The sequence below is a fragment of the Homo sapiens genome, chromosome 10 (assembly GCF_000001405.40).
Source record: "Homo sapiens chromosome 10, GRCh38.p14 Primary Assembly".
Lineage (NCBI taxonomy): Eukaryota > Metazoa > Chordata > Mammalia > Primates > Hominidae > Homo > Homo sapiens.
The window spans coordinates 78228307-78247196 of record NC_000010.11 but is presented as its reverse complement, the minus strand read 5'-3'; the positions used below and the strand labels follow the sequence as shown (position 1 = coordinate 78247196).

At 45.6% G+C, this 18890-nt stretch overlaps 1 long non-coding RNA gene across 1 annotated transcript; it reads right to left on the bottom strand.

Moving 5' to 3' along the window:
• Window positions 1-13462: 13462 nt before the first annotated feature.
• LOC124902467 (uncharacterized) lies at window positions 13463-18137 on the bottom strand. Its single transcript, XR_007062210.1, has 2 exons — window positions 14547-18137; window positions 13463-14271 (listed from the first exon to the last, which is right to left on the bottom strand). It is a non-coding gene; the product is annotated as an uncharacterized LOC124902467 (long non-coding RNA).
• Between the last annotated feature and the right edge of the window lie 753 nt (window positions 18138-18890).

Sequence of the window (18890 nt, the reverse complement as noted above, 5' to 3'; positions counted from 1 at the left end):
CTGCAAATTTTAAAATGCATTCTAAATCTGCAATAATTAAAACAGTGTGGTACTAGCAAAAAAAAATTAGCAGACGGAACAATGAGGCAGATTCAATACATAATATATTTAAACTTTAATATACTTTTAAGATAGAATTTCATGTCATTATGGGAAAATATGGACTATTCAGTGAATTATGGCTTGAGGATAACTGACCAACCTACTAGGGAGCAAATTTAAATTCTATCCCTACCTCACACCACATGATTTTTTTTTTTGAGACAGTCTCGCTCTGTCGTCCAAGCTGGAGTGCAGTGGCGCGATCTCGGCTCACTGCACACTCCAGGTTCACACCATTCTCCTGCCTCAGCCTCTCAAGTAGCTGGGACTACAGGTGCCCACCACCATGCCCAGCTAATTTTTTTTTGTATTTTTACATGTTAGCCAGGATGATCTTGATCTTCTGACCTTGTGATCCACCCGCCTTGGCCTCCCAAAGTGCTGGGATTACAGGCGTGAGCCACCGGGCCTGGTCCTTTGGTTTTTTTTTTTTTTTTTTTGGTTTTTTTTTGAGACAGAGTCTTGCTCTGTCACCCAGGCTGGAGTGCAGTGGTGCGATCTGGGCTCACTGCAAGCTCTGCCTCCCAGGTTCACACCATTCTCCTGCCTCAGCCTCCCGAGTAGCTAGAACTACAGGCCCCTGCCACCATGCCTGGCTAATTTTTTTTTGTATTTTTAGTAGAGACAGGGTTTCACTGTGTTAGCCAGAATGGTCTCGATCTCCTGACCTCGTGATCCACCCACTCTGGCCTCCCAAAGTGCTGGAATTACAGGCGTGAGCCACCACGCCCAGCCCACACCACACTTTAAAATAAATTCCAGGCCAGGCACAGTGGCTCACACCTGTAATTCCAACATTTTGGGAGGCCAAGGCAAGAGGATTATCTGTGGCCAGAAGTTCAAGACCAGCCTGGGCAACAAAGCAAGACCCTGTCTGTACAAAAAAATTTAAAATTTTACCCAGGCATGTTGGTACAGGCCTGTAGTCCCAGTTACTGGGGAGGCTGAAGTGGGAGGATCGCCTGAGTCCAGAAGTTTGAGGCTGCAGTAAGCTGCAATTGTGCCATAGCACTCCAGCCTGGGCAACACAGCAAGACCTCATCTCAAAAATATAAAATAAAATAAAATTCCAGATAGGTTAAATATTTAAAAAATAGAGTATTAAAATGAAATATGAAGTAAGATTCACATTATCTTCAAGTTGCATGCCAGACATCTTTTATGCCGCATGTCACACCCTGTCAGCTCCTCTTTTTGTTTCACCACCCCCGCCATGCCACATCTCCCTCTCTCTCTGCTCCCAGCTTCTCTGGCCCAGCTCTTTGGGATACCTGCTGTCAGTGACCAACTCTGCCATTCTGCCGTGTGCACAATATTGGGAGTGCAAGCAGTCCACATCCCCCAGGGAAGCCTTTGATTCTTGTGAAATAAAAACCTTCTTCCCTCTGCCAGGGAGCCAATTCTGAGGCATGTTCTCCAAAGTTCCTGACAGGACCCCAGCAGGACTGACCCCTATTTCCCCTGTGTTGGCCTCCCCTCCTGTCCTGTCTCCCTCTTTCCAGCCTCCCACTCCTCTTCCCTGGAAGCCAATCACAAAATCAACTCTGCAGATAGGCCTTTGTCACAGGTTCTGCTCTTTGGGGGACCCAAGTTAAGATGGGTAGGAAAGACCTAAGTATAGAGCTAAATTGAGAAAACATGAAGAGAAAGGTCAATAGGTTTATTTTCTTTAAAATGTAAAACTTCTGTACATCAAAATATTTCACATATACTCTTCCCTTTCCTTCCAAAACAATTTAGGCTAGAAGCCACTACGTGGGATTAAGCAAGGTTGGCATCTATGCAAAATGAGACAGCAGCCACTGGGGCACTGGAGCACATCATGGGGTGGAGGCGATCACGGGGTGTCAAAGGCTAAGCAGGTCAAAGGGGCCATACATGAGGGTGAGTGGTGGCCCAGTGTGAGTGGCCAAGCCCAAGTGGTGCAAAGGGGGCATCTGAGGAGTAGGGAACAGCCCAGCTTGGGGTGTCACAGCCTGAGTAGGTTGAAGAGGTATCCATGAAAGGAGGTGGCCCAGCACAGGGTGTTGGAGCCAGAACAGGATAAGAAAGGCAGCTCTAATACACTGGTGGGGAGGGTGTCCCTAGGGCAATGGCAGTGATAAGGGATTGGTTACATACAAGGTATTGATCAAATGACTAAATATATTACAGAAGATGAGATGGGAGCCAGATTTTTCACTGTCACAGAAGACAGTTATAACAATGGCCTGGTGTGGTGGCTCACGCCTGTAATCTCAGCACTTTGGGAGGCCAAGACAAGTGAATCACCTAAGCTCAGGAGTTCGAGACTAGCCTGGCCAACATGGTGAAAACTCATCTCTACTAAAAATACAAAAATTAGCCAGGTGTGGTGGTGGGTGCCTGTAGTCCCAGCTACTTGGGAGGCTGAGACAGCAGAATTTCTTGAACCCGGGAGGCAGATGTTGCAGTAAGCCAAGATTGCACCACTGCACTCCAGCCTGGGCAACACAGCAAGACTCTGTCTCAAAAAAAATAAAAATAATAAAAAAAAAAGACTGTTACAACAATGGAAAGGGAGAAAGGCAGAATATACCCTATGGCATGTGATCAGAATTGGAGGCATTAACAGGAACTTTGACATCCCACAGTGCCTCCTGCCCCCACCCTGGCTCCTGTCCCATCTTACACAGATGCCAACCTTGTGTATATATAGATATATGATAACCACTAACAATTATTTTACAAATTTACTCCATTATGGCAACAATTTAAAATTAAGCAAATATGATTTAATGTATATGTATTTGTCTGTTTTTACGCTGCTGATAAAGACATACCTGAGACTGGGAAGAAAAGGAGGTTTAGTTTGACTTACAGTTCTGCATGGCTGTGGAGGTCTCATAACCATGGCAGAGGGCAAAAGGCACTTCTTACATGGTGGCAGCAAGAGAGAATTGAGGAAGACACATAAGCAGAAACCCCTGATAAACCCATCAGATCTCATGAGACTTATTTACTGTCATGAGAATAGCATGGGAAAGACTGGCCTCCATGATTCAATTACCTCCCCCTGGGTCCCTCCCAAAACACATGGGAATTCTGGGAGATAGAATTCAAGTTGAGATTTGAATGGGGACACAGACAAACCATATCATTCCATCCCTGGCCCCTCCAAATCTCATGTCCTCACATTTCAACACCAATCATGCCTTCCCAATAGTCCCCCAAAGTTTTAACCCATTTCAGCATCAACCCAAAAGTCCACAGTCCAAAGTTTCATCCAAGACAAGGCAAGTCCCTTCCACCTATGAGTCTGTAAAATCAAAAGCAAGCTAGTTACTTCCTAGATACAATGGGGGGTAGAGGTGTTGGATAAATACAGCAGTTCCAAATGGGAGAAATTGGCCAAAATAAAAGGATTACAGGACCCACGCAAGTCTGAAATCCAGCAGGGCAGTCAAATTTTAAAGCTCCAAAATTATCTCCTTTGACTCCAGGTCTCATATCCATGTCATGCTGATGCAAGAGGTGGGTTCCCATGGTGTTGGGCAGCTCCGTCCCTATGGCTTTTCAGGGTACAGCCTCCCTCTCACTGCTTTCTCAGGCTGGCACTAAGTGTCTGTGGCTTTTCCAGGTGCACAGTGCAAGCTGTTTGTGGATCTACCATTCTGGGGTCTGGAGGACAGTGGCCCTCTTCTCACAGCTCCACTAGGCAGGTCCCCAGTAGGGACTCTGCTTGGAGGCTCTGACCCCACATTTCCCTTCCGCACTGCCCTAGCAGAGGTTCTCCAAGAGGGCCCCACCCCTGCAGCAAACTTCTGCCTGGGCATCCCGGTGTTTCCATACATCTTCTGAAATCTAGGCAGAGGTTCCCAAACCTCAATTTTTGACTTCTGTGCACCCACAGGCTCAACACTATGTGGAAGCTGCTAAGGCTTGGGGTTTCCACCCTCTGAAGCCACAGCCCAAGCTCTACGTTGGCCCCTTTCAACCATGGCTGGAGCTGCTGGGACACAGAGCACCAAGTCCCTAAGCTCCACACAGCATGGGTACCCAGGGCCAGGTCTATGAAACCAATTTTTCCTCCTGGGCCTCCAGGTCTGTGATGGGAGGGACTGCCGTGAAGGTCTCTGACATGGCCTGGAGACATTTTCCCCATGGTCCTGGGGAGTCACATTAGGCTCCTTGCGACTTATGCAAATTTCTGCAGTCAGCTTGAATTTCTCCTCAAAAAATGGGTTTTTCTTTTCTACTGCATAATCAGGCTGCACATTTTTTGAACTTTTGTACTGTTTCCCTTTTAAAATGGAGTGCTTTTAACAGTACCCAAGTCACCTCTTGAATGCTTTTTTGCTTAGAAATTTCTTCTGCAGATACCCTAAATCATCTCTCTCAAGTTTAAAGTTCCACAGATCTCTAGGGCAGGAGCAAAATGCCACCAGTCTCTTTGCTGAAACATAACAAGAGTCACCTTTGCACCAGTTCCCAACGAGTTGCTCATCTCTATCTGAGACCACCTCAGCCTGGACCTTGTTGTCCATATTGCTATCAGGCTTTTGGTCAAAGCTATTCAACAAGTCTCTAGGAAATTCCAAACTTTCCCAAATTTTTCTGTCTTCTTCTGAGCCCTCCAAAACTGTTCCAGCCTCTGCCTGTTACCCAGTTCCAAAGTTGCTTCCACATTTTCAGGTATCTTTTCAGCAACTCCCCACTCTACTGGTACCAATTTACTGTATTAGTCCATTTTTGCACTGCTGATAAAGACATACCAAAGACTGGGAAGAAAAGGAGGTTTAATCTGACTTACAGTTCCACATGGCTGGGGAGGTCTCATAATCATGGCGGAGGATGAAAGACATTTCTTACATGGCAGCAGCAAGAGAGAAATGAGGAAGAAGCAAAAGTGGAAACCCCTGATAAACCCATCAGATCTCATGAGACTTATTCACTATCACGAGAATAGCATGGGAAAGACAGGCCCCCATAATTCAGTCACCTCCCCCTGGGTCCTTCCCACAACATGTGGGAATTCTGGGAGGTACAATTCAAGTTGAGATTTGAATGGGGACACAGCCATACCATATCAGTACATATATATATATATATATATAAAATAGATGCAAGTGTGTGAATGTATGCTTACGTGTGTGTCCACTGAGAGAACCTGGGAGCTGGAGCTGTGGCACTCCAATAGTAATGAGCACACCTAGGACCCAGATCTTGTCTTCTAAATACCATTCTCCACTAAAAGGAACAAGGACTCCCTGGAGAAACAGCTGATTCCAAAGCTAAGGAGGAGTACCTTGGTTTACCAAAAATTAAAGAATGTTCAAAGAATGATGGGGACAAAATCAAAGAGATACAGAAGCCCACTTGAAGGGGCACCTACTGGTTAAATCCAGGACAGCTTGAGCACCAGAATAAATAATGATATTAATGGATTATAACGAATTGCATCAAACAGAAATCCATGAGTTTATATAGACAAAATATACAAATGAATAAATTGAAAGTTTAGGAGGAACAAGATATTTACACAGTCTCAAAGTACCTCTTCATTTAAAAAAAAGTATTAATTACAAACGAGAAAAAGTAACTTTACAGTGGAAAAAACTGGCAGAAACCATCTTCAAGTGATCAAAGCTTCACTCTCCAGTAAGGAGAGAAATCAAAATCCCACGTGATATGAAGGGATGCAACAAGGAGAACTCAGCATCACTTCTGATATTCCTGCCAAATATGAATAAGCTGAAGCAAGTCCTGAAAAAACTTCAGAAAAACCCACTGACAGATGTTCAAGAAAATAACTGACCTGTACTCTGCAATAGTGCCAAGGTCATGAAAGTCAAGGAAAGCCTGAGGAACTGTCCCAGATAAAGGAGAATGAAGAGACATGACAACTAAATGCAAATGTGATTCTGAACCGGATCTTTCTGCTGCAAAGGACATTGTTGGGACAATTGGCAAAAGTTGAATGGTGTCTGAGGAATAGTTGGTCTTCATGTACAAGGTCAGCATCCTGATACTGATGGTCATATTAGGTTATGTCAGAAAATGTCCTTGCTTGTAGGAAATGTGCACTAAAGTATCCAGGGATGATGAGGCATTGGGTCAACAACTTACTGTCAAATGGGTTTAGAAAAAAAAAGTTCTTTATACTCTACTTGCAACTTTTCTTGCTTTATTTTTTTTATTATTATTTTTTTTTAGACAGAGTCTCACTCTTTTGCCCAGGCTGGAGTGCAATAGTACAATCTCAGCTCACTGCAACCTCCACCTCCTGGGTTCAAGCGATTCTCACCTGAGTAGCTGAGATTCGAGGTGCGTGCCACCATGCCCAGCTAATACTTGCAACTTTTCTATAAGCTTGAGATTATTTCAAAATAAAAGTAAACGCTGGGAGCAGTGACTGATGCCTGTAATCCCAGCACTTTGGGAGGCCGAGGCAGGCAGATTGCTTGAGCTCGGGAGTTCGAGACCAGCCTGCCAACATGGCAAAAACCTGTCTCTACTAAAAATACAAAAATTAGCCGGGCATGGTGATGGGCGCCTATAGTCCCAGCTTCACAGGATGCTGAAGTGGGAGATCACTTGAACCTGGGAGGTGGAAGTTGCAGTGAGCCGAGATCATGCCACTGCACTCCAGCCTGGGAGACAGAGCAAAATGCTGTTTCCGAAAAAATAAATAAACAGTCAAAATAAAAGTTAAAAAAAAAAAACCATAAACATGTAACTGACACACGGGAAAAAAATGCAAAACACAAGATAGAAAAGGGGTCACACATGGTTCCTGAGAGGTAGGCATGGAGGCTTCCCTGACAGCCTCCTCAAATAGCAGGCCCACTGCCAGGCCAGCCTCCGAGATGGAGGGAGAGAAAGAGAGGGGGATGGCTGAGCCGGACCCCCGGGCCTGTCCTTCCATGATTCCACTACACTGGGCTGAGGTTCCTCTGCCTGCCTTGCCCCCAGTTCCCACCCCTACCCCTAGCCCTGGGATGAGTCTCCCTGGTACCAGCTGTGCTTCCTTTTCTGTGTTTTATTTAGACAACAGACGGGAATGAGGTGGGAGGTGGAAGAAGGGGAAAGAAAGGTGAGTTCGAGCTGCCTTCCCCAGCGTTAGACCCCAGGTGGGCTCTGTGCAGTCACTAGAGGTTGAAGCCAAGTGGGGTGCAGAGAGGAGGGAGAGGGAGGTCACTGGAAAGGGGGAGAGCCTGCTGGGGCCCACCATAGAGGAGGAAGGCAAGAGAGGGTGGAGGGGGTGTGGCAGTGGTTTTGGGAAACACTAAAGAGCCCTTGCCTCCCCATTTCCCATCTGCACCCCTTCTCTCCTCCCCAAATCAATACACTAGTTGTTTTTATCCCTGAAAAAGAAAAAAGGGGGTCACAATCTCAACGTATAAACAGTGCTTCAAATTGTATTGAAAAAATACGAATATCCAGATAGAAAAACATGGCAAAAGATGAACAGATAATGCCAAAAAATTAAATGTCCTATAAACACATGAAAAAAGTTTACTTTCTTCTGAAACCAAAGAAATGCAACAATGAAAATGAGATATCATAATTTATGATTCTTCAATATGCAAAATATATTTTAAAATCATATTCCATCTTGGCAAGAGTGTGAGGAAACAGGTATTTTACTTATCGCTGGTAAATACGAATTCACATATTCCTTCTGGATGACATTTTAGCAATTTACATCAAAATCCTTAAAATTTTGCAAACCCTTCAGCAAAAAGGAAAGAAACCTGAAAAAAAAATTGCAAATCCATTACCCTAGTAAGCGTATTTCTAATAATGTTTCTTAGGAAATAGTCACAAATGTTCAAAAACATTTATTGCAGAATTGCTTATAGAGAGAAACAACTTAATATCCCAACAATAAGGGATCAGATAAACTAACCTCAATGCATCCAAACAACAGAATAATATGGCAACCATTTAAAATTATTTAATAAAATATTATTTAGTGACAGCTGTGCATATGAATGTAGTCATACTAGCATTATATTCAAATCCTGGTAGCTCTGGATCCTAACTGCCTAGCTGCAGAGCGTTATCACCTCCTTTGGAAAATCTCCCCAAGTTGTTGTTGAGAGACACCACAGGCACCTCTTGTGCTCAGAACAAGTCTGGCTGGCCCTCCTGTGGGACTGTGAGCTAATCAAGGAGGCACCTGCAGACAGGGCCATCCATCTGGTTTGTCGAGGACTGCACCACTGAGGGACTGCTGCCTGGCCCCCATCCCATATTGTCACTCAGTTCTAGCACTGACCTGATGCTGTGTTGGCCCTGGATCCCAACATGGGCCTCCTTGAGCTCAGAGTCTCCCCAGGCATTTTCTTAACTCCATTCAGGCAGTCTCTGCCCCATTTCCTCTTTCATCAGGGCCAAAATCCAATTCTTCAGGCCAGGCAGGGGTCTCCCCTCTTGTCCCATCTATGTGCTCCAGAAAAAAAAAAAATCTCCAAAGCTCTTTCTCTCCAAATACAACCACAAAAAAAGAAAGTCCCTCCACTCCTACAGAGACAACTGCTGGGGATGGGAAAGGAGGAAAACTAGGTCTAGCCTCAGAAGAATCAGCCAGTCCCAGCTCTGTCTCAGCCTGGACACACCCACAGGTAGAGACTGATGCAAATCAGCAAATATTGAACAAATAAAATGAGTCCATAAAAGCCTGGGATGACCCACACCAAAAGATGGCCTGTGTTTGTGTATTAGTCCATTTTCACTGTGTTTGTGTATAAGTCCGTTTTCATGTTGCTGATAAAGACATACCCAAGACTGGCCAATTTACAAAAGGAAGAGGTTTAATGGACTCACAGTTCCACGTGGCTGGGGAGGCCTCACAATCATGGCAGAAGGTGAAAGGCACATCTCACATGGCAGCAGACAAGAGAAGAGTGAGAGCCAAGCGAAAGGGTTTTCCCCTTATAAAACCATCAGATCTTGTGAGACTTACTCACCACCATGAGAACAGTGTGCGGGAATACTCCCGTACTGGGAGGAACCCAGTATCTCCCACTGGCTCCCTCTCACAACATGAGGGAATTATGGAAGCTGCAATTCGAGATGAGATTTGGGTGGGGACACAGCCAAACCATATCAGTTTGTCTCCTAGAGGAGAGATAATAAGCAACTTATATTTTTTGCTTATTTATCTGTTATTTTATAAAACAACCACACTTGAAATCTGTTACATATTTATTGTAACACAAAATAACAATTATAAAATATATGTAAGGCTAAAATAAAAAAGCCAAGTGGAACGGCTCACGCCTGTAATTTCAACATTTTATGAGGCTTGAAGCCAGGAGTTCGAGACCAGCCTGGCAACATAGCAAGTCCCCATCTCTAAAAAAATAAAAGGAAGTTTAAAAAAGAAAATAAATATATATAAATGAATAAGAATACCCATAACCCACCCATATACCAACCACCCAGCTGAACAAACTGAACTTGATCATTTTGGTGCCTTGTGTGATCCCCCTGATTCTAGTCCCTTCCCTTCCTAGAGCAGTAACCACAAACACCACCATCCTGAACTTTATTCTTCTCACTCCTTTGCCCTTCTTTGTAATTTTACTATACATATTTGTATCCCTAAACAGTAGTTTTGCGTGTCTTTTTATTTCCCATAAATAAAATCACGCTCTGTGTATTCTTCTGAGACCTGCTCTTTTCACTCAACGTTACATTCCTGAGATTTATTCACATGTAGCTGTAGATCGCTCATTCTCCGTGGGATGAACATACACAGTTTACTGATCCGTTCTACTGCAATGAGCATTTGGGTTGTATTCAGTAATGTGGCACGAACATTCTTACCTGTGCCTCCTGGAGCACGGGTCCAAGAGATTTTCTGTGTACTACTCCAAAGGCTCTCCGGGTCATAAGGTGTGGGCTTCTCAGACTTTTCTGGATAATGCCTAATTGTTTCTCATAATGGTGTGACAATTGACCCTCCCCCAGCAGTGTTCAAGCATCAAGGCTGGGATCCTTTTAGAAGTTCAGAATGAGGACTGTCTCCACCATGAAAGGCCTCCTAGGGTACATCTTCTCTGGCTGTTGGAGTTGCTATCAGGCACATAGAGTAATTAAATGGCACTTCTTTCCTAAGAATGCAAATGGCATTTTAGAATAACCTGAATCATATCCTAGTCTCCCATGTCATCTTCTATGGTTCTTGTTCTCTTTGGTCTCTCTGAGCCGTGTTCTTGGTAGAGCTCTTTGCTCTCTGGGGCCAGAAATGCCTCTCCAACGCACCGTGGGAGGAGTCCTGGGATAGACAACAGGAGATCAGGTCCATGGGCCAGTCCCTGCCCCCATGCACCATGTGGGCTTAGAGAGGTCAGCTCCTTTCCTGGGGCCTCTGCCTCCTCTGGGGTGAATGAAGCAAAGAGATCAGCTGGACAGTCTCGGAGGCTCCTTCCTTCAGACTGCACTACTAACTAAGTCTTCCCATTCCTCTGCAACTGCCTGATGAAGTCAGCCACAAAGTGAGAACCGCTGCCAGCCACATCCAGTACCTCACCAGGGGCCCCAGCCGACACACCACAAAAGCTGTCATTTCCTAGGGTCACATCTCTGTCTGGCCTTGGTCCAGGGACAAAAGCTGCATGGGATCCATGTAGTCCTCCTCCCTGCCCTCGTTCCCCTGAGCTGTCTCTTACCCAGAGCCATTGTATAGGGGCTCCCAATGAGAACCTTTTTTTTTTTTTTTTTGAGACAGAGTCTTGCTCTGTCACCCAGGCCTGTGTGCAATGGCACAATCTCAGGTCAATGGCACAATCTCAGCTCATGCAACCCCTGCCTCCCAGGCTCAAGCAGTTCTCATGCCTCAGCCTCCCAATAGCTGGGATTACAGGCGTTTGCCACCACACCTGCTAATTTTTTCATTTTTAGTAGAGACCAGGTCCTCACCATGTTAGTTAGCCAGGCTGATCTCAAACTCTGGCCTCAAGCTGATCTGTCCACCTCAGGCTCCTAAAGTGCTGAGATTACAGACATGAGCCACCGTGCTTGACCCAAATGAGAACCTTTGTGGCCTCCTTCTCTCTTTTTTCTTTCTTATTGTGTTTAAGGGTGGAATCACCATACCTGGATCTGAATCCTGGCTTATTCTGCCTTTTTGGACGTCTGATCTTGAATTAGTCATTTAACCTCTCTGAGCTTCAGCTTCCTAGTATATAAAATGACGACAATACCTGCCCGACAGATCTGTTTTGAGGCTTAAATGAGATCACATACCTGGAGCACTTCACATGGTGCTTGGCACATAGGACGTGCCCAGTGAATGGCAGCTACTAGTAAAACAGGCTCCCTTGGGACAGAGTATGGACCCCATCCGGGCACTAAAGTTAGCCAGAGCTAAGAGAATTCAGCTCTTCCTGATTTGCTCCTATTTACAGAGAAAGAATTTTTGCAAATGTCAGCCTGCTGTTCAGTATTGAAAAGAATGGAAAATGGTTTTACCCTGTTCTTAAGAGAAGGACAGAGCAGCCAGAGAGATGGCAGCAAAGACCAAAGGGAGGCCCACCTAGGGAGGCAGAGACACCTGAGGTCCACACACTGGCCCAGAGAGGTAGCACTGCAGCACCCCGTAAGAAAGCTTTCATGGATATGATGGGAGTTTTGTTTCCCAGAAATTCTCCTTGCACGTTTTGTGTCCCTCTCTTAATGCACTAGTGGCAATCAACCACCTATTGACTCAGTCTGTGTGTGTATGTGTGTGTGTGTACATGAACATACTTTGTGTGCCCTCGTCCTCATCTTATGTCAATCAGCTGAATGCAGAGATTGTGTTGGATTCATCCCTGGACCTGTTAGGAGACTAGTCCAGAGGTTTACATGAGAGCACTCATCAACTCTCATCAAGTGTGGATGGAACACCTATCTTGCTGTGGGCCTGGGGCTTGATAGGTGCTCAGAACAGCTCCTGGCCTTGGGGACTTCTCAGTCCAGTGGGGAAGGCAGGACCATAGTCAACTGTGAGAGCAGTCAGGGTAAAAGCATTCTAGAAGGAAGCCTCCGTCAGAGCAAAATCCTCTATCTCTAAGCAGGCAATTCCTTTTTACGAATGAGAGCTGTTGGGCCCCAGTGGGGGAAAAATAAATTTAAAAAGAGACCAGTAAGACTAAAAGAGGGTCTTTTCATCATGCATCCAGCATGGTGAGTTGGCTGGAGCAGATGCAGCATTGGCTACATGGAGAGGCTTAATGTGATGACTCTGGAGAAATGTGCTGGGGCCCACAGATCATACCAAAAACACAGGACTTCTGTAGGCAAAATGGAAAGCCAGTAAGGCTTTAATATGATAAGTCAGTGTTTTAGCACACTCTCTCTGGAGCTGTATGAAGGATAATTTGAAAATCAAATATATAAAAGAATAAAGCAGTAAAAATAAAAGGATTGGAAGATGAAGTTGAAGAAAGATTTCAAAAAAGAGTACAACAATTCAAAGGGAAAAAATTAAGAAAAAAAGATAAAATTAGAAGATCAATTCAGGAATTCTAATACATAAACTATAGAAGTTCTCAGAGAGATAAAAGAAAAAAAAAAAACAGAGGAAAGAAAGTCATCCAAGAAATAATTTAGGAAAATTTCCCAAAACTGAAAAGCATGAGTTTCTAGACTCAAAGTTCCATCAAGTATTCAATACAATGGATAAATATAAGTTTTCACCACAGCACAGCAAGATTAACTTTCAGATCTCTGGCAACAATGAGAAGAGCTCACAAGCTTCCTAATAAGAGGGGGAAAAAACAGGTAATATATAAGAGACTTAGGAAGCAGAATGGCATTGACTTATTTACATCACTGGAAACAAAATGATAATGTGAAAAGTTCATTTTCAAAAGAAAAAACTCACTCCTGAATTTTATATCCAACCAAATAATCAAGTATGATTTCCAGAAAGGCAAAATTTTTGTCTCCCATGGATTCTTCCTGAGAAGCCATTAGAGGATGTGCTCTAACAAAACAAAGTTGTAAACCAAAATAGATGGAGACTGAACAGGCAGGAAACTCTGACACAGGAGAGGAGGGAAGGGCATCCCTAGGAAGCTGATAAAGGGAGATCCCGGGATGAGACGAGGCCCGGGCACAGAATGCTGCCTGTTCTGAGGGCACCAGGTCAGAAGGCTGTCAGGGAAACTCTTCAGGACAATGAAATTGATAGAGCACCTGATGTGGGTGAAAATATTGGAATAGGCAATCAGTAAAGACTCTGGAGTTGAATTAGTGATAAGTACAGAGAAAGGCAAGCAAACAAAAGAACAAGATAGTTATTAGCTCCTAGGAAAATAAAAGTTATACAAGGAAGGAAAAATACAGTAGGCCACATGGAACTCTTCACCTCTTTAAACTATAAACATGCATACCTTTGACAAAATTTTAGAAAACAGTAAGTTTATTAACACATACACATTAGAGTTCTCCTGCCCCAACCCATGCTGCTTCCCCCAAAGTGCCCAGAGGGGATAAGCTGAACCCAAATATCTTCCTCTGTCCATCTCCAAGCAGGCAACTTCCCTTCAGGAATGGAAGCTATTTGTCCCCAGTGGGAGGGAAAAAAGAGAAAAATAAATCTGAGAAGAGACCTGTAAAATTAAAAGAGAGAAACCTGGTAATTAGTGCTTCAGACAGATAATAAATTCTGAATCTCACAAATAAGGCTTTACGAGTTGAGAGTATAATTGATACCCCAGCCTGGAGAGCCTATCAGATCACCTTAATCCCACTTTTTGTCTTGTGCATTTTAAATTATTCAGTTCCTTTGAAACCTAGAAATACTGCCTTTGTAGAATCAGACAGCTCACTCTACGGGGTGCCAATTTAGGATCTCCACAGTGGGTTCTGCCAGAGATGCTTGCCTTGGTCTGGAGATATGTATCCAGTCAAGCCACAGTGACAGGTGCCGGAGCTCAGGGCTGCTCTGTTCTGTTGGCATTCTGAGGACCCCTCCAACCTGGTGACTCCACCAGGAGACAGCCATCTGTAGGGTACCAGGAAGCATGAGACTGGTACCAGGATGCGGCAGTTGAAAGGCCCAGAATGCTGCAGGCTGCTCAGATCACACCCCCAAGGACCATGTCCAGCCCCAGCCACCATGTTCAGCAGGGAGCAGGTGCTAGTCACTGCAGGCTGGGTGCAGGACTTGGTACCCTCCATTCATGATGCCATTTGATCCTTACAACAGCCCTGTGAAATAAGTGATACTATCAGACCATTTCACAGATGAGGAAACTGAAGCTTAAAGAAGCAAAAACAAAAAAACAAAACAAAACAAAACAAAAAAAAAACAGCCTAAGACGCCACAGCTAACTAGCAGTAAAGCTGGGATTTTAATGCAAGTCTTCCTGACTTCAAAGTCCACTTTATTCTGTTGCGTTTGAGGACTTCCACTGAGCCAGATTCAGGGCTGGGCTGTGGAGATTTAAAGACTAAGATGAGATCTCTGTCCTTAAGGAGCATACCTTGTGTGGTAGTCAGGTACATAGACTGTTCCAACACACTGTAGTGAATTTCTTGATGGAAGGTCTGTGAGCAGAGACCCAGAGGAGAATGATCTGGGGATGAAAGGAATGTGTAAGCAGCTACTTTATGCTCCCTTATTGGGGCTAAGAAAGAACAGACTTCAGGGCACAGGAAGCTGTCCTCAAATCCCTGAAAGGCATGGTCATCTGAACAACCTCCAGGAATCCCACCAGACCCAGTGGAAGGCCAGTGGGCTCTCTGGGAAGAATGCTGGTAGCCTGAGCCAGAAAGGGCCTCTGCAAGAGCGCAAGGTCGCTGGCATAGCCAGATGTACATTGTCAGAAATGCAGCTCAGGGGATTCTTGCACTGGGAGAAGAGGACAAGAGCATTTGTTCTCTGTTCTGCTTGAGCCTCCCCTTCCCGGAACATCTATTACTGCTCTCAGCCAGCTCTAAAATTAGGAGGATAACAGCCCGTGCCCCACCTGGTGGCTGGAAAGACTAAATAAGGAAACCAGGGCTCAGAGAGATTTCACAATTTGCCCAAGGTCACACAGCATGTGAGCAGGGGACAGGGTCTCCTTCACTGCATGGTCTTCCTTTTAAACCAGTCACGTCATTGTTTTTTCCAGATGATCCCATTGTGGTATGATTCAGCTGTGCTCTAGGTACAGGGGTGGGAAGGTGGTGCTCAAGGCAAGGGAGAAAGAAGATTGGAGTCTGAGCTCTCTGCCTGGCAACTGATCCAGAATCATATCTCATCTATACATGCCGGCCCAGGCTTAAGCCAGCCCTGAGCTCAGAGAATTCTGCAGGCTGGTACTGCAGGAAGAAGGCTGGACTTGAATACAGAAGACATGATTTACACCTCACCTTTTCCACCTACTAACTCCGTGATCTTTCACATGGGTCTCAGTTGTGCACCTGCAGAATGGGCGTAATAATTCCCACTCTAAGAAACTGCCAGGGTTAGCTTACACTTCCAATGAACAATATGTGTGACAGCCCTCTATTGGCTAATGTACTTGATGAACATGAGAAGAGGAGGAGGGAACCATGGTGAATTGAAATCCTGCTATGCGTCATGTCACAGGCAGACCTGACATGAAAATTCACATGCAAGCATTATGAAATTGCTCCTGGGAGAACCCAGAAAGGGAGTGGGGAAAACAAGACAGGGAAGGGAAGAAGCCACGCAATGATACAATTACAGGTGAAGTCCCCACCAAGGCCTGATCCTGCAGGGAGCTCTACAGTGTAAATTCCATCTCTGAGTTTGCCCGCCTTGAAGGAAAAGAGCTGGGCTTTCATACTCCGGCCTCCTGATCATTGTCTGCAGGCCTTTCTGGGACACTTCTGGTTCTCAGTACCTTTGAGCAAAGCAACTGCAATAGCCTGCAGGTGTCTCAAGAAGGTTGCAACTGCAAGCTGTTAGGAGAGAAGCATGCAAGCGCTGGGGCAGGGATGCATGGAGCTCATAAAGGACATCCAAGAGGATCTGAGGGCATCACGGCAGAGAACTGGCAGCTTTCACTCTGCAGATCCTCAGAACACATGTTGTCATTTAATTAATATTCAACTCAATGAAGGGGTATTATTAGTCCCACTTGACTGATAGGAAACTAGGGCTCAGAAAAGTGGCTCATTCAAGGTCCCATGGTGCATCAGAGATCAATTCCATCTGCCTCCAAATTCATGCTCCCACCAGTGGTTTTACTGTACTGTCCCTCTGCTTCACTCTCCAGATCCCTTGGCACTGGTCACCTGGACCCTGCTCCCCTCAAGGGCTCCAGTCACTCTGCTTATTGCAACACTCCCATATAGGGACCACAGATCCATGGACTCTGACAGCAATGAAAATTTTCAATGCTGGTGCTTTCAGATTTTTAAAAGTAATGTCAAAGACACAGTGTGGATGCTGTGATGGTCAAGGTCCTCACTGACATGGAAGATGTGGAGACAGTGGTGTTGGTGGCAGAGAGGGTGGTGATCATAGTGGTAGTGAGGGTGGCAGTGATAGTTCTGAGGGTGTTGAGAGAGACAGTGATTAGATTAGTGTGGAGGTACCAGTGAAAGTACTGGGATGTGGAGGTAGTGGGAGGAGGGTGATGGTGGTGAAGATGGTGTTAGTTTGGCTGAGTGGAGTTAGTCATGGTAGTGGAGACTGTGGTGGTAGTGGTGGTAGAGGTGATGATAGTGGTGGTGGTGGAAGTAGCAGTGGAGGTGATGATGGTGATGGTGATAACAGCTGTGGGCAAGATATTATTAGCACAGTGGAGGTGATAGAAGTGATCATGGTAATAGATATGATGGCAGTGGGGGTGGAATTGGTGATAGTGATGGTCAGAGTGATGGTGGAGGTGATTAGAGTGGTGACGGTGGAGGTGATGATGGTGATGTGTTAATATTGGTTGTGGATGTATCAGCGTGATAGAAGTAGTGGAGGTGATGATGAGGGAGGTGAGAAGGGTGGTGGTAATGGAAATGATAATGATGGTGATGGTGGAGGTGATGACGATACTGACGTAATAATAATGATAATAATTGCAATGTGAGTATGGTGAAGGTGGTATTATGAGGGTGGAAACACTGTTTTGATAGTGTTAATGTTACTAGTGGTGATGACAATGACTGACCAGGAAGATGGCAGCTGTCAATCCTGCCTCCCCAGGTACCTGAGAAATACAGAGCCCTCTGCGGGACCAGGGCTGGAATGAGAACACAGCCCGCCATGATAAAGCCAAATCTGCCATGTACCACCTTCACCAGAGCGCCGGAAGTCTGCAGAGGGGGAAGAAGATAGCAGGGTGAGCTAGACAGCGGAGCGAGTCAGTCACACCATATTTCAGGAACAGCGTGTAGCTGCTTGTTAGCAGAGATCTGCTTTCCAACGGCAAATAATAAAATTATGCTTTTTGTGCGGCTAATGAAATGCAAATTGAAGCTGGATGCACATTAATGCAAAGAGTTGAATATCCATTTAATCAGCTCCTCCCTGCAGGGGCCAATGATAAAAATGACAGAGGAATTGCATTGCTAATTCCAGGCCTGTCACATCTTATACGTCCTTACCTTGTAAATCCACTACTCCTGGCTGGCACCTGCCTGAGGGGCCCAGGGTTTATGTTGATCAGGGTTCCGAAATTCTGGGAATCCCTTTAGGGGTGTGGACTAGGATGGGGCTGGGGGGAGCCTGAAGGGAAGAGAGTGAAAAGATTGGATCTTTCCTGTAGTCCCAAAATGAACTGTGGATACCCCTTCTGAGTGCCCCCACCAGGCCAGCCTCTGTCCTACAGGGATGAGTGGGGTGAAGGTCAGGCTATTTCTTCCTGTGTTAGAAATCAGAGCCCAGTGGTCTAATACTAACAGCTAACATGTAGCAACTGTTTACGTGATGTCCAATTCTGTGCTAAGTAATTCACCTGCATCCTTTCATTCAATCAGCACCCACGCGGTAGGAACAATTACTCCTGTTGGCAAGTGAGGAAACTAAGACTCAGAGGTGAAGTGCTTGCCACAGCCAGGAAGAGATCTGAACCCAGACAGTGTGAAAATGAAGTCCATATTCTTAACTAGCACATTATACTCTTTCTTCTGAGGAAAGTGGCACCCATGGAAATAATCCACAGCAGACCACCTGGGGCTCAGAGCCCAGTGATGAGGAGGAGCTCGGAGGAGGGAGAGGTGGACAGAAGGCCAGCTGAAAGAGGCGAGACCAGCTCTGGGAGTAAATGATGGCAAGTTCTGCCTAAATAGTAAGAGGGTAAGAGGCGCTGGATGTTGTGTCTGTTTGGTTCCCAGTCCTGCCCAAGCTGGCAATTTGCGGGTGGAGGAAGCAACCCAGCCCATCGGGAGGTGGCAGAGGGGAATCAGGCCAGACACTGAAGCCCACATCACAGGAAGTCTTGAATACAGGCTAAGGTAGGAGAACCTGACTATGCAGACGGGGCCAGCCATGCACTGGGTCAGCCCAGGAGAGAGACAATCCATGTTGACCTGCAAGTCAATGATTCCAGGGACAGAGATGAAGACAGATTCAAGGGGACAGGTCTGGGAGCAGGTGGAGCAGGGAGGGCTTGCTACAGAGGCAGTGGCAAGAGGTGATGAGCTGCAGGAGGGTCTGCCTCGGCACATCCCATCTGGGCCGCCACTCTCTCTTGCCAGAGGCATCCAAGGACAGCGAGAAAGCACTTGGGCCTTGGATCCTCTCCTCCTCCTTCTCCCAGCACACAAAGCAGCTTTGGTGGGCTCTGAGGGCCTTCAGTGTACTTGTTTAAGTAGAGCCAAATGACAGTGGCAAGAGGTTCTTAACCCTCCCTAATGGCTTCTCTGAAATAGGGGCA